This window comes from Homo sapiens, chromosome 2, assembly GCF_000001405.40.
Source record: "Homo sapiens chromosome 2, GRCh38.p14 Primary Assembly".
Taxonomy (NCBI): domain Eukaryota; kingdom Metazoa; phylum Chordata; class Mammalia; order Primates; family Hominidae; genus Homo; species Homo sapiens.
Window position 1 is genome coordinate 203,154,274 of NC_000002.12, and position 15,351 is coordinate 203,169,624.

The 15,351-nt window shown below is 37.4% G+C and overlaps 1 protein-coding gene across 12 annotated transcripts in view; it reads left to right on the forward strand.

Moving 5' to 3' along the window:
- The window catches only part of NBEAL1 (neurobeachin like 1), a 210,587-nt gene that overhangs the window by 139,666 nt on the left and 55,570 nt on the right, over positions 1-15,351 (forward strand). For all 12 annotated transcript variants that reach the window (XM_011511658.4, XM_047445554.1, NM_001378026.1 and 9 more), the window contains 3 exons: positions 3,426-3,552; positions 11,876-12,024; positions 12,954-13,087. In XM_011511658.4, the coding sequence (XP_011509960.1) occupies positions 3,426-3,552; positions 11,876-12,024; positions 12,954-13,087 (410 nt within the window). The remainder of the gene's footprint in view (positions 1-3,425; positions 3,553-11,875; positions 12,025-12,953; positions 13,088-15,351) is intronic.

Here is a 15,351-nt window from a genome sequence, read left to right on the forward strand (position 1 = left end):
CAATAAAACTGTACAGAAAAAAAAATTATATATTTCAAGGTGAAATTGGAAATCATAAAAAAAGGCATCAGTCTTTAATATCTTTAAAGTTCTTTGAAGTATACTTCAGAATTAACTGCAAAATGTTTTGCCTACTCCTTAGTTTTGTCTACTCCTTAGTTTTGTCTATATTTCCGTTAACTGCCAGAATTCATGGTTTTCTTTTTTTAAAATATTATCTTGTTTTGTTTTACTTACTCCAATACTGCTTTTTATAAGCAACCCATTGCAGATGTATAGAATAGTGTTTTCATTATGGGCTAACCTGCAAAGCTAACCATGATTTAAAATATTATTTTGGATGGAAAATCCATTATTAATTTCAAACAGCTGACTTATGAAGCACCTTTTGGAACACACCCACTTGTAAATTAGGGAATTTGAAGAGTGAAAAAGTAAATATATTCTTAAATGTATCAGTAAAAATATTTGGTTTGTAGTATGGGCAACATAGTGATACCCCATCTCTACAAAAAATACGATTTTTTGTAGCATGGCACATACTTGTAGTTGGAGCTACTCAGAGGTGAGAAGATTGCTTGAACCCAGGAGGTCGAGGCTACAGTGAGCCACGATCGTGTCACTGCACTCCAGCCTGGGCAACAGAGTGAGACCTTGTCTCAAAAAAAAAAAAAAAAAAAGGTTTGGTTTGGCTAGGTGTGGTGGCTCATACCTGTAATCCCAGCACTTTGGGAGTCCAAGGAGAAGAGTTGCTTGAGCCCAGGAGTTCGAGACCAGTCTGGACAACATAATGAGACCTCATCTCTACAAAACAAATTTTAAAAGTCAGCTGGGTGCAGTCATGTGCGCCCATGATCCCAGGTACTTGGGAGGCTGAGGTGAGAGGATTGCTTGAGCCCAGGAGATTGAGGCTGTAGTGAGCCATGATTATACCACTTCATTCCAGCCTGGGCAACACAGTAAAACCCTCTCTCAAAAAAAAAAAAAAAATTGATTTAAGAAATTTTTTTTGTCTGTACTTCTCTATTAGACATGCTGTTTTCTGATTGGCAAACTTAACAACTTATTTTTGGTCCTCACCTTGCTTCCATTGTTTCTGAAGCATTTAGTGGTTATCCTTCTCTGTAAGTGTATTTCTTTCCTTCTTTCTTTTCCTTTTTTTGTTTGTTTGTTTGTTTTGTGAGACAGGATATCTTTCTGTCACCCAGGCTGGAGTGCAGTGGTGCAGTCACCACTCATTGCAGCCTTGAGCTCCTGGGCTCAAGTGATCCTCCTTGCCACAGCTTCCTGAGCAGCTGGTACTATAGGTGTGTACCACCACACCCAGCTAATTTTTTAATTTTTAAACTTTTTTTGTAGAGACAAGGTCGCCCTCTGTTGCCCAGGTTGGTCTTGAATTTCTGGGCTCAAGTGATCCTTCCACCTCAGCCTCCCAGAGTGCTGGGATTACAGGCATGAGCCATCACACTCAGCCTGTAAATATATTTCTTTCTTAGCTCTGCTGCTTAACCTCCTACTTTTTATACCAACTTTTAGTCTTTTTTTCTAAAACTTTTTTCCTGCACACCTTTAAATGATGATGTTCCCAGATCCATTCCTAGAATCTTGCCTTTTACCTGTGTTCTTCCTGAGTGATCTCATGGCTAACCCACCATATATGTAATGCTCCTTTCCCATCTGTATTTCTAGTTCCAACCTTCCTTTTGAACTCTAGAACAATGTTTCCAGCTGCCTGTTGGGATATCTCTTACACAGTCTCCGTATGACATTTCTGAAACTGAATTTATTATCTTTTCTCATATGTGTATTCCTTACCCTAGTTTCTACTTCTCTTGTATCTGGTATTGTAGTTATCAATATCTCCATATATTAGTTGCTGAAATTAAAATCCACATTATCCATGAGTCTCTCCTCATATCTCTGAAATTCCTACATATAATAGCTCTTTAGGTACTGTGTCTGGTTGATTCTATCTCTTACATAACTTTTGAATGTTTTTCCTTATTTTCATTCCCTTTGCTATTGCCATGGCTTAGCTTGGTGCTTTCTCCAAACTTACAGTAGCTTGCCAGCTGGCCTCCTTGCTGCAGTCCATCCTTCATTCTCCATCCTTCACCAATCTTTCATCAGATTTTCAATTCATACTGTTAACAGAATAGTACCATACATCTATATAAAGTCAATTTCCTATTTGTATCAGACTACCTAGGCTTCCTTCTTTTCACTTTTTATTGCATTGTCATGTACTTCGTTAATTAAATGTTTTAACAATAAATTAGACCTCATGAAAAAACATGTTCAGTAGAAATAGTTACTAACTTGTTCTAGGGAAAATGTGAATCACTACTTCCCAATGTAGAGGGTATGATCAAACAGATTTACACAGAAAAATGCAGCTGTACGTTACGTTGATTCATCTTATGTCTGAGCAACGGTATCATTTGAGAAGTTAAGGGAGGATTTGTCGTCTTTATAGTGTTTTGTTATTTATAGTTATTTGCAGTATTGTGTTATTTTATATATTGTGTATGAATTATTTTTGCCATAAATGAAATGTCTTTATTCATCAAGTTAAGTATGTTAATTTTTTTTCCAATCCTATAAATTATGCATATATTTGTATTGCTGTTCTTATTTCAATCAGATAGTTGGAAGATAAATATATAATAGTAGCTATCATTTATTTTATATTTAATGTGTACCAGATGTTTCACATATATTACCTTTCATATACATAACAACCTTGTGATGAAGTCTCCATTTTACAATTTAGAAAACATAAATTCAGAAGGGTCATTGGCTTAATAACTGGCAAAACTAAATTTGAGTCTAGGTTCACCACTTCATAGACCATGTTCTTTTCATTATACCAGACCTGCCTTTTTACAGGATGTTTAGTTTATAAAATACATTACATGTATTGCATATAATTGCCTCGGAATTATGTATTAAGTTCCATGTGGTCCAGAAAGTAAACACTTTCGCTCTTGGTCTGTGTATTATTTCCCAATTAAAGACAATTTGTCATATATTCTTAGTATTGCTTTTGTACAAATGCACAGTAAAAATGGTTCTATTACATTAATACAATTAGAATATTTCTTCCTTTGACTTAATTATTGGCAACCTTTAGAATTAAATATAAATAAAGAGAGTACTTGGCCTATTTCTGAAACAAATAATACTGTTATTAAAAATAGATACTATTATTTTTTAAACATTTATTCTTTTTACCTTATGAATAGTAGTGGTCAAAATCGCCATCAAACGTGAAGGATTACTCTAAATCAAAGTACCGTCTTTACTTATAATATACATATTGTTATATCTAACAGTCAGGAACACAATTAGCAGTCAGAAATTACAGAAAGGCTATAATATTGTTTTTTACTTTATGTTTAATAGATATTTTGTGTTTAAAACAGGTATCCAACACTCACAGCCTTCCAGTGATACATTGCTTTTGGAAGTAGTGAAACAAGTAAAAGTTAGTGATATGGTGGAGGATAAATTAGACCTTCCTGAAGAGGATATAACAGCTAGAGTAAATGTGTATGTATAAATATTTAAAATTATTTTGTTCTGAGAAAGGGGATTGCAAAATCGTGGAAAAGATTTGCTTGAAATTCTAACACCATGTATTTCCAGGGTCCAACAGTTAATGCTGTATCAGCTGTTAGGATTTTATCAGTATTAACTGAGATTATTGAGGAAGGCTTCTTAGAACTGGGATAACATGGAACTGGACCTTGAAATTAGAAAATATTTAGAACTGTACGATAATGAAAGCAGTACATCGAATTTGTGAGATTCAGCTATACCTGTGTTCAGATGGAAATGTACAGCACAAAATATAAACTGTTAAGCAAAAGAAATAGCATTATAAAGACAAAGCAGAAATTCATGAAAGAGAAAAACAAAAAGAAAGATTAAAAACATTGAAGCCTGGTTATTAAAAACAAGCAAACAAAAAGCAAAAAACATAAACCTCTAGCCAGACTGATTAAAAGAAAGACAACATAATTTGCCTATATTAGGATTGAAAGAGGAGATATTGCCACAAATAATAAAATGACTGAAAAGAATAGTAATAACTTTATGCCTGTAAGTTTGACAGCTTAATGAAACAAATTCTTTGAAAGATACAAATTACCCAACCTCTGCAAGAAGAAACAGATAACCTGAAAAGCCTTAGATACATTTTAAAATTTTTAATTTGTACTTCAAAAGCTCTCTTTAAGCAAATGTAAAATGTATTAATTTCCTCATCTCCTCTTTGTGTCACTACTGTCATACGTATTACATTTCTTTGTATAAGTTCAGTAATACAGTTTCATAGTTGCTGTTTTATGCAGTTGTCTTTAAATGAATTATAGGAGGAAAACAAATATATGTTATTTATGCTTTGTTTGCTACATAATTATCAAGTATCATACTTGTGCACTTTATTTCTTTGTGTGTACATTCATTTATCATCTGATATCATTTCCTTTCAGCCTAAAAGACTTTCTCCAGTTTTTTTGTGTGTGTTTTTCTGTAGGGTTTTTTTTTTTTTTTTTTTTTTGAGACAGGATCTCGCTGTGTCACCTCAACTGGAGTGCAGTGGTGTGATCACAGCTCACTGGAGCCTCCACCTCCTGGTCTCAAGTGATCCTCCTGCCGCAGCCTCCTGAGTAGCTGGGACTATAGGCACACCACCATGTCTAGCTCATTTTTAAATTTTTTTACGGAGACAGGGTCTCACTGTATTGCCCAGGCTGGTCTCGAACCTCTGGGCCCACATGATCCTCCCGTCTTGGTTTCCCAAAGTGCTTGGATTACAGGCCACCAGAGAGTGAGCCGCTGCACCCAGCCCTCTAGTATTTCTAATAAGGAAGGTCTGATTGCCACAAACTCTCTGTTTCTTATCCAGGGAGGTCTTTATTTTTGTTAATCCAGGTATATCTCACAAACATAAAATTTACCATTTTTAATGCATACAATACAGTGGGGTTTTTTTAATGTTTTCACAAGTTTGTGCAACCATCCCTACTATATAATTCCAGAACATTTATGTCACCCCAAAAGGAAATCTTGTACCTTTGAGTGGTCGGTCCCAGTTTTCCCCTTCTCACATAACCTGGCAACCACTAATTACTTTGTCTCTGTGGATTTGCCTACTTTGGACATTTTCTGTAACTCCTACAATTTGTATCTGGCTTATTTTCATTTGGAATAATGTTTTCAAGATTCATTCGTGTCATAGCATATGAGAGTACTTTATTCCTTTTTGTGGCTGAATAATATTTTAAATAATTTTCCATTTATAACCATTTATGGTTATCCAGAATATGGATAATCACATTTTGCTTATCCATTCATCAATCATGAGCATTTAGGTTGTTTCTACTTTTAGGCTATTATGAATAGTACTTCCATGAATATTCAGGTACAAGTTTTTGTGCAAACATAAGTTTTTTGTTGTCTTGGTTATCTACTGAGGAGTATAATAGTTAGATCATATGATAATTCTGTTTGAACTTTTGAGGAATTACCAAACTGTTTTTTACAGGGACTGTGTCATTTTTCATTTTCACCAGCAAGGTATGAGTGTTCTAATTTCTCCACATCTACCTCAACTCTTGTTATTTTCCTTGTGGTTTTGTAAAAATTCATTATAGCCATCCTAGATGGTTTGAAGTCGTTTCTATCTTATTTGCATTTTCCTAGTACCTAATAATGTTGAGCATCTTTCCATGTGCTTGTTTGCCATTAATATATATCTACTTTGGAGACTATATATGCAAATCACTTGCCCCCCGCTATTTTTTTTTTTTTTTTTTTTAGACAAAGTCTTGCTCTTGTCGCCCATGCCAGAGTGCAGTGGCGAGATCTTGGCTCACTGCAACCTCTACCTCCCAGGTTCAAGCAATTCTCCTGCCTTAGCCTCCTGAGTAGCTGGGATTACAGGCATCTGCCACCATGCTCCCGCTAATTTTTGTACTTTTAGTAGAGACGGGATTTTGCCATGTCGGCCAGGCTGGTCTCAAACTCCTGACCTCAGGTGATCCACCCGCCTCGGCTTCCCAAAGTGCCTGGATTACAGGCGTGAGCCACCACGCCCGGCCTGGTTCTTTTTTTAAACGTTTTTAATTTCTGTCTCTTTATTGATAGTCTCTATTTGATGAGCTTCATTGCTGTAATTCCCTTTAATTCTTTAAACATAGTTTCCTTTTGTTCTTTTGATGTTTTTATGATAGCTACTTTGAAGCCATTGTTAAATTGAACATCAGAGGTCCCCCAGAGACAGTTTCTTTTTACTGCTTTTGTGTTTATGGCTCATACTTTGCTTTTTGTTTTCTCATAATTTTTGTAAAAAAAACTATACATTTTTGGTAACAAACTGTAGCCAATCTGGCTTCTGATCTCCCTCTGTTATGGTTGTTACTGTTGTGATTTTGTTTGTTTGTTTACTTTCCCGAACTAATTCTGTAGAGCCTGTTTTAACCGGCTGTGTGTTGCCAATGACGTCTCTATTCATTGGGGTTTTTTTGTTTTGTTTTTTGTTGTAAAACCTGGCCTAGTAGGGATTGTCTGTGGGTCAGCATAGCTTGGTGGTCAGTCATTGGTTAGAGGTTGTGTTTAACCCCCCCGATCCAGCTGAGTGCTATAGCTCATGAGTATAATCCCAGCTATTCAGGAGGCTGAGGCAAGAGGATCACTAAAGGGCAGGAGTTTGAGACCAACCTGAGCAACATGGTGAGACCCTCTCTCTAAGAAAATAGGCCAGGGAGGCTGGGCACGGTGGCTTACGCCTGTAATCCCAGCACTTTGGGAGGCCGAGGCGGGTGGATCACGAGGTCAAGAGATTGATATCATCCTCACTAACACGGTGAAACCCTGTCTCTACTAAAAATACAAAAAATTAGCCGGGTGTGGTGGCAGGTGTCTGTAGTCCCAGCTACTTGGGAGGCTGAGGCAGGAGAATGGCATGAACCTGGGAGGCGGAGCTTGCAGTGAGCCGAGATTGCGCCACTGCACTCCAGCCTGGGCAATGGAGCTAGACTCCATCTCAAAAAAAAAAAAAAAAAAAATAGGCCAGGCGTGGTGGTTCACGCCTGTAGTCCCAGCAGTTTGGGAGGCCCAGGCAGGTGGATCACAAGGTTAGGAGATTGAGATCATCCTGGCCAACATGGTGAAACCCTGTCTCTACTAGAAATACAAAAATTAGCCAGGCATGGTGGCACGTGCCTGTAGTCCCAGCTACTCAGGAGGCTGAGGCAGGAGAATTGCTCCAACTCAGGAGGCGGAGGTTGCAGTGAGCTGAGATCACTCCACTGCACTCCAGCCTGGGTGACAGAGCAAGACTCCGTCTCAAATAAATAAATAAATAAATAAATAAATAAATAAATAAATAAATAAATAAATAAAAGCCAGCATGGTGGTGGTGTGTGCCTATAGTCTTAACTATTGGGAAGGCTGAGGCAAGAAGATACTTTGAGCCCAGGAGTTGAAAGCTGCAGTAAGCTATGATCACCCCACTGCAGTGAAGCCTGGGTGACAGAGCCAGACCCTATCTCTAAAATAAATAAATAAATAAGCAAGACCCGCCCATCTCTAAAATAAACAAACCCCTTGATCCAGTAAGACTGCCATCCTTTGCCAGTGGATCTGTACATGGCTTAGGGATTACCTTTGAAGTTCATGATTTGTATATCTGCCCTAATGTGAGTTTTGGGGGTTTTGTTTTGTTTTGATTTGATTTGATTTTTTTTTTTTTTTTTTTTTTGAGATGGAGTCTTACTCTGTCACCTAGGCTGGAGTGCAGTGGCGCGATCTCGGCTCCCTGTAACCACCACCTCCTGGGTTCGAGTGATTCTCGTGCCTCAGCCTCTCAAGTAGCTGGAATTACAGGTGTGTGCCACTACGCCCAGCTAATTTTTTGTATTTTTTGTAGAGATGGGTTTCACCGTGTTGGCCAGGCTAATCTCAAACTCCTGACCCCAAGTGATACTCCCACCTTGGCCACCCAAAGTGCTGGGACTACAGGTGTGAGCCACTGTACCCAGCCTAATATTTAACTTTCTATGTTGATAAAGCCACATATTCAGCCAAGAATGAGTAGCTATGTCCCAAATATATTATTTGTTTACATTATAAACTACATATGGCAAATATTTCTTTGAAGCTCATTTTAATATTACAAATTGAGGGCCAGGCATGGTGGCCCTCAATTTGTCAGCACTTTGGGAGGCCGAGGTGGACAGATCACTTGAGCTCAGGATCTCCAGACCAGCCTGGACAACATGGCAAAATTCCATCTCTACCAAAAATACAAAAAATTAACTTGGCATGGTGATGTGAGCCTTTGGTCTCAGCTACTTGGGAGGCTGAAGTGGGAGGAATGTTTGAGCCTGGAAGGTGGAGGTTACAATGAAGCAAGATTGCAGTGATTTTATCAGATTTTCTCTAACAAAAATATATTGTTTGATAATAAGTGATTACATGTAGGACTTCAATACTGTAGCAAATTAATATAATATCAAAAAGCACAACATTGTATTCAAATAAATAGAGCAGTGACCAAGTCTCACAAAAAATATATATATAGTCTTCCTCAGCCAGGTGCGGTGGCTCACGCCTGCAGTCCCAGCACTTTGGGAGGCCGAGGTAGGCGGATCACCTGAGGTCAGGAGTTTTGAGTCTGGCCAACATAATGAAACCCGAAACCCAGTCTCTACTAAAAATACAAAAATTAGCCAGACATGGGGGTGAGTGCCTGTAATCCCAGCTACTCAGAAGGCTGAGGCAGGGGAATCTCTTGAACCTGGGAGAAAGAGGTTGCAGTGAGCTGAGATTGCACCACTGCACTCCAGCCTGTGTGACAGAGCAAGACTCCATCTCAAAAAAGAAATAAACAGATAAATAAATATAGACTTTCTCTTTAACATATTTGTAACTCCTTCTCCACAGGTGAAAAACCTGGATACCATTACTCTGAATAAGCCTACTTATTTAGTCAAGCCTAGAATACACAGAAAGTGCTTTAAGAATTGCTTAACTCATATCATTAGTTGCTAACTCATTCCACTGCAAAAAAGCAAACAGATTTCAATTTTGTTTAAAGTCCTTTTTTCTTTAGGTAAAATTTACAAACAGTAAAATATAAAAATAATTTTATATTCTTTTTATATATTCTAAAAACTGTAGAATTTTATGAATCTTGACAAATACTCATAACCTGTGTTATAACCCTCACCCCAAAAAGATACTGAAATCACCTTCTCCCCAGAAAATTCTCTGTGTTCTTCCCAATCAATCCTTCCTCCTTCATCCTCCCAAAGGCAATTTAGACTTTTTTCCACTACAGATTAATTTTACCGGTTCCAGAAATTCATATAAATAGAATCATACCATGTTTCTGTTGTTCCCAGTTCTTTTCACTCAGGAAACACAACTGTATATATCAGTAGTTCATTATTTTTTATTGATGAGTGGTATTTGTTGTTTAAATATACCACAATTTCTTTAATCTCCAGGGTTATTTCAGTTTGGGATTATTTTGAATAAAGCTGTTATGATCATTCTCGATGTGGTTTTAATCTGCAATTCCCTTATGTATAGTTGTTGGGTTCTTTTTTATGTGTTTGGTGACCCTTCCTTTGTGAAATGTCTGTTCAAGTCTTTTGCCCATTTTTTAATTGGTTGTCTTTTTTCTTATTCAACTGTAGGATATTTTCATATATTCTGTATACAAGAATTTTTTCAGATGTTTTGTGCATATTTTTACTCAGTCTGTTCCTCAGTTTATTTTCTTAATTGCTTTATAGAAGTTTATAAATTTATTAATAGATTATACCTATTATATTAATACATGTGATTAAAAACTAACTTTTCCTTTTTTGGCATGTCAAATAAAACTTTGTACAATCTTTGAGAGAAAAAAAAAAGATTGCACCACTGCACTCTAGCCTGGGTGTCAGAGTGAGACCCCATCTAAAAATATATATATATTACAAATTGACTAGATTCAGTAGTATCCTTTGGTGGCATAATCAGGACTTTTACTTGTATTAGTTCAGTAATTTTTTTTAGATTTCCTTTATTATTTTCAGGGTACTGGGTAGGGGCAGTTATATAGGGAACTATCTTGGTAGATACTCAGTTGGCTTTGTAATTGGGATTTTTTTTTTCTTTCTTTGATGACTAGTGAATTTAATGGATGTCAGACTCATTTGTTTTACACTGAAGAACCAAAATACTTTTTGTCATTTAATATAAATAACCCTCAGACTATTTACTTTTTTAGGGTTACTCATGGCTCTATTTATCACTGTAAATATTAGTATTTCAGTGTTTGGGAAAACATTCTTTCCAGTAATTATTTTTTAAAAAAAGAAAAGCTTAGTTTTAAATAAATGATTGCAACATTGCAAGCTTAAAATGGTGATACAGAACTTCTCATGGAAACCCACTAAAAATAAAATTAGACTTAGTCATTGGTACCCTGGACATGAGGCAGATATGAAATGTCTAGGACCAGAGAGTTAGCTGGCTTAAAAGATTTACTTGAATAACATTCTGTGAGTGGTAGAAGCTCCCATTTCTCTTTTTTTTTTTTTTTTTGAGATGGAGTTTTGCTCTTGTTGCCCAGGCTGGAGTACAGTGGCGTAATCTTGGCTCACCGCACCCTCCACCTGCCAGATTCAAGCGATTCTTTTGCCTCAGCCTCCCAAGTAGCTGGGATTACAGGCATGCACCACCACGCCTGGCTAATTTTGTATTTTTAGTAGAGACGGAGTTTCTCCACGTTGGTCAGGCTGGTCTTGAACTCCCGACCTCAGGTGATCCGTCCATCTCTGCCTCCCAAAGTGCTGGGATTACAGGCGTGAGCCACCGCGCCCACCCAGGAGCTCCTATTTCTATACTTGGCAGTTAAAGTCACCTAGGCCACCAAAAGACTGTCTCTCCAGTTACTTCCTCCAGCAAATATAAATAATATTCCTCCTAATATATGGTGACTTCACTTTAAGTAAGGTATGGCAATAGTAGCTCTTTGCATTATCTCTAGTTCCCTTGTTAGGGGAATGCTATGATGGTAATGCTCTCTAGTTTTAGTTACTCTTGAAAGTCTCATTTTATAGTTTAAGATTCATATTTAGTACTTCTAATTATTATTTACAAACACCACTACAATGCAGTCTTAGTCACAGATTCCTGTATTTTGTGGGTCAATTCATGTCTCCCAGAATATAACTAAAATGACATGACCAATATTGCCTTATTTTTCAGCTGTCCTCTGCTAATTGTTTTACAGGTTCACTGTGTTTTATTATAATGGGTCATATAAAATCAGGATGTAAAGCTTATTTTTAATGAAACTGAATCATTGAGTAATAAAAATATTTGGATACTGTTTAAGTAATTTAATATGCAGAATACTTCTTGAGGGTAATTCAGATATTCTTTCCTGGACATTAATTTGACAGATAAGTGATTTATATTTGAGGCCAGGCACAGTGGCTCATGCATATTATCCCAGCAGTTTGGGAGACCGAGGTGGGTGGATCCCTTGAGCTCAGGAGATCAAAACCAGCCTGGGCAACATGGCAAAACCCCACCTCTATAAAAAATATAAAAATTAGCTGGGCATGGTGGCATGCACCTGTATTCCCAGCTACTTGGGAGGCTGAGGTGGGAGGATTGCTTGAGCCCAGGAGGCAGAGGTTGCAGTGATTGAGCCGACATTGTGCCACTGCACTCCAGCCTGGGTGACAGCAAGACCTTGTCTCAAAAAAAAGAAAAAAAAGAGATTATATTTAAATGTGGCATTCTTTTCTATTTAAGAAAAATAAATGGTTGAATTTTTCTGTTTATTGGCTTCTTGTTTTTACAGTGATGAGAAAGAAGAACAGGATCAAAAAGAAAAATTGGTATTGATGGAAGACTGTGAACTCATTACAATAATTGATGTAATTCCTGGCAGATTAGAAATCACTACTCAACACATTTACTTCTATGATGGCAGCATTGAAAAAGAAGATGGTGAGGAGTTCTGGAAAAAATAATTTTTGCTGTTCAATAATTAAGTATCTAATTTATCAATCATGAATGAGAAGAAGAAAGCAGTAAGATATAACTATCATGTGAAGGGAGAAATGGAAAGTCAGTAAGGGGTCAAATTTGTTATTCACCAAGGTGTGGAAGGGAATGCTTTTTAAAAATTATCAATGCATTTTTAAGGGTTTGGCTAGAGGGAATTGCTGTAAACTTAAGTTACAAAATACAGTGTTTATTATTATTATTTTTTTGAGATGGAGTTCCACTCTTGTTGCCCAGGCTGGAGTGCAATGGTGCGATCTCGGCTCACTGAGACCTCTGCCTCCCGGGTTCAAGCGATTCTCCTGCCTCAGCCTCCCGAGTAGCTGGGCTTACAGGCATGTGCCACCACGCCCAGCTAATTTTGTATTTTTTTTTTTTTTAGTAGAGACAGGGTTTCTTCATGTTGGTCAGGCTGGTCTCGAACTCCCAAACTCATGTGATCTGCCCACCTCAGCCTCCCAAAGTGCTGGGATTACAGGTGTGAGCCACTGCACCCAACCTAATATAGTCTTCATTTTATCATACCTTTGTATGTGTACTTATTCCTATAGGCTTCTCATGTCATCCTTTATGTGATAATAAAAGGATGAATAAATCTAAGATGCCAGCATACAGAGAAAAGGAAAACTGTTTCTGAGATGTATTCAGAATTATATTGTATTCTAATGGGAAGGCAGTAGAATAGTTATAGAACTTTAAAATAGTTTAAAAGAACCAGTTTAAATATCCAACACATTTAACAAATGGTTTATATAGTACAGAAATTGAATTCCTTTTTCCTAAAACCTTTTGTCAAGAACTAAGAGGTATTTTCTACTTAGCATGAGTAACTTTATATGGTATCTCAGTCACAAGATTTCTTCCGTTTTCAGGAGTAGGCTTTGATTTCAAGTGGCCTCATTCTCAAATTCGAGAGATTCATCTCCGGCGTTACAATTTAAGAAGATCAGCCCTTGAGATTTTTCATGTTGACCAATCCAACTACTTTCTCAATTTCAAAAAAGAGGTATGTATTATGGTTTCAGGAAATCCCAAAATGCTAGCTTTAAATACGTTTCCAGCTAGTGAGCTCTAATGGAACTTTGGGCTGTATTCTTTTATCAAGACAAAATGTTAGAGGAAAAAATACATACTTTGGGGGCTAATCAGTGTATGAATTTTTGTTGAGATTTATATACGTTTGAGTTTTGGGGGAGCTCAGTTTTTATATATATGGCTAGATAAAGTAGAATTTTTAGTGCCTCACTACATTCACTTGTGATGTAATATACAATATGTAAGCTATGACAAGATTTATAAAATTAGATTGGTTTCAAATTAAAAAATAATGAGGAATCTATTTCTTCTAGGAATATAGTAAATTCTTAAGTAATGTAAGTTGTTAAGTGCATATGCTCTAAAGCCACATTACCAGGGTCCGTGTACTGTCTCCACCAGTAGCTGTGTAAGCTTGGGCTCATTACTGAGAATGCTTGGGCCCGGCCTTCCTCCCCTCTCTCATTCACTTGAGGTCAGACAGGTATTATTACAGTTTGACAGCTCTCCCCACCTTGCATAGCTCTCCCATTTTCTCTCGTAGGCGTCTCCCCTAGTAAAATATTCGCATTTTAATTGTGTCTTGGCATCTGCTTTTCAGAAGACTCACATTAGCACACACAATAACTAATTTTCCATTCTTCTGTGGAACCCAGGTTGACTTATTGATGGATTTGATTAAGATGTTTAAAGACCATTCTTCTAGTTTTACAAAAGTCTTTTTACTGTTACAAGAAAGTTTTCCTTCATAGGAAAATACAAAGCATGTGTTTTATGGAAAGCTGTGTCATGTAATTAAACTAAGTCTGCCCCTGCTAAGTACTGGGTGTTTGTATAACTTTATTGTCTTTAAAGTACATTTCTATAAAGTAGCTAATCTTTATAACAACCATGAGATTAAATGTGGCAAATTTGGCCAGACACAGTGGCTCACGCCTGTGATCCCAGCACTTTGGGAGGCCGAGGCGGGTGGATCACCTGAAGTCAGGAGTTCGAGACCACCCTGGCCAACATGGTGAAACACCATCTCTACTAATACAAAAACTAGCTGGTCGTGGTGGCACATGCCTGTAATCCCAGCTACTTGGGAGGCTGAGGCAGGAGAATCACTTGAACCTGGGAGGCAGAGATTGCAGTGAGCCGAGATCACGCTATTGCACTCCAGCCTGGGCAACAAGAGTGAAACTCTGTCTCCAAAATAGGTAAATAAATAAGGCAGATTCTGGCTGGGTACGATAGCTCACGCCTATAGTCCTAGCACTTTGGGAGGCCAAGGTGGCTGGATCACGAGGTCAAGAGTTTGAGACCAGCCTGCCCAACATGGTGAAACCCCATCTCTACTAAAAATACAGAAATTAGCTGGGCATGGTGATGCACACCTGTAATGCCAGCTACTCGAGAGGCTGAGGTAGGAGAATTGCTTGAACTCTGGAGGCAGAGGTTACAGTGAGCCGAGATCACGCCAGTGCACTCTAGCCTGGGTGACAGAGCGAGACTCCATCTCAAAAAAAAAAAAAAAAAAAAGGCAATTTCCATTATTCCTTTTTTAATAGTTAAAGAAACTATAAGTGAATTTTATAACTTTGCATTTGTATAGCCCTGAATAATTCACAGTACTATAAGGATAGGTATTATGTTTAATTTAATTTATTTGCCAAGATGATTAGTAAATTGCAGAACTAAATTTGAAGTATACTTGAGCAAGTTTTCTAATTCCAAGTCTAATAATATTTCCGTTATACATGATAATTTTTGTAAACATACATAGCTTGATTTCAGCAAGTACAATAGGGTAATTAAAACCATAATCTACTGTTTATATGAAATGTCCAGAACAGGCAAACCCATAGAGACAGAAATTAGATTAATAATTGTCAGGGAATGGGAAGGAGGCAGAATTGAGAAGTAGCTGTTAGTGACTATGGGATTTCTATTTGAGGTGATAAAAAATTTCTGAAGTTAGATAATGGTGATAGTCACACAACTGTTTGAATATAGTAAAAAAAAAAAAAAAAAAAAAAACCACTGAAGCCAGGTGTGGTGGCTCATGCATGTAATCCCAGCACTTTGAGAGCTTGAGGTGGGAGGATCACTTGTTGTCCAGGAGTTTGAGATCAGCCTGGGCAACATGGTAAAACCCCATCTCTACAAAAAATACAAAAAAATTAGCCAAGATCACACCACTGCACTCCAGCCTGGGCAACAGAGACTGTCTCAACAAAACAAAACAAAACA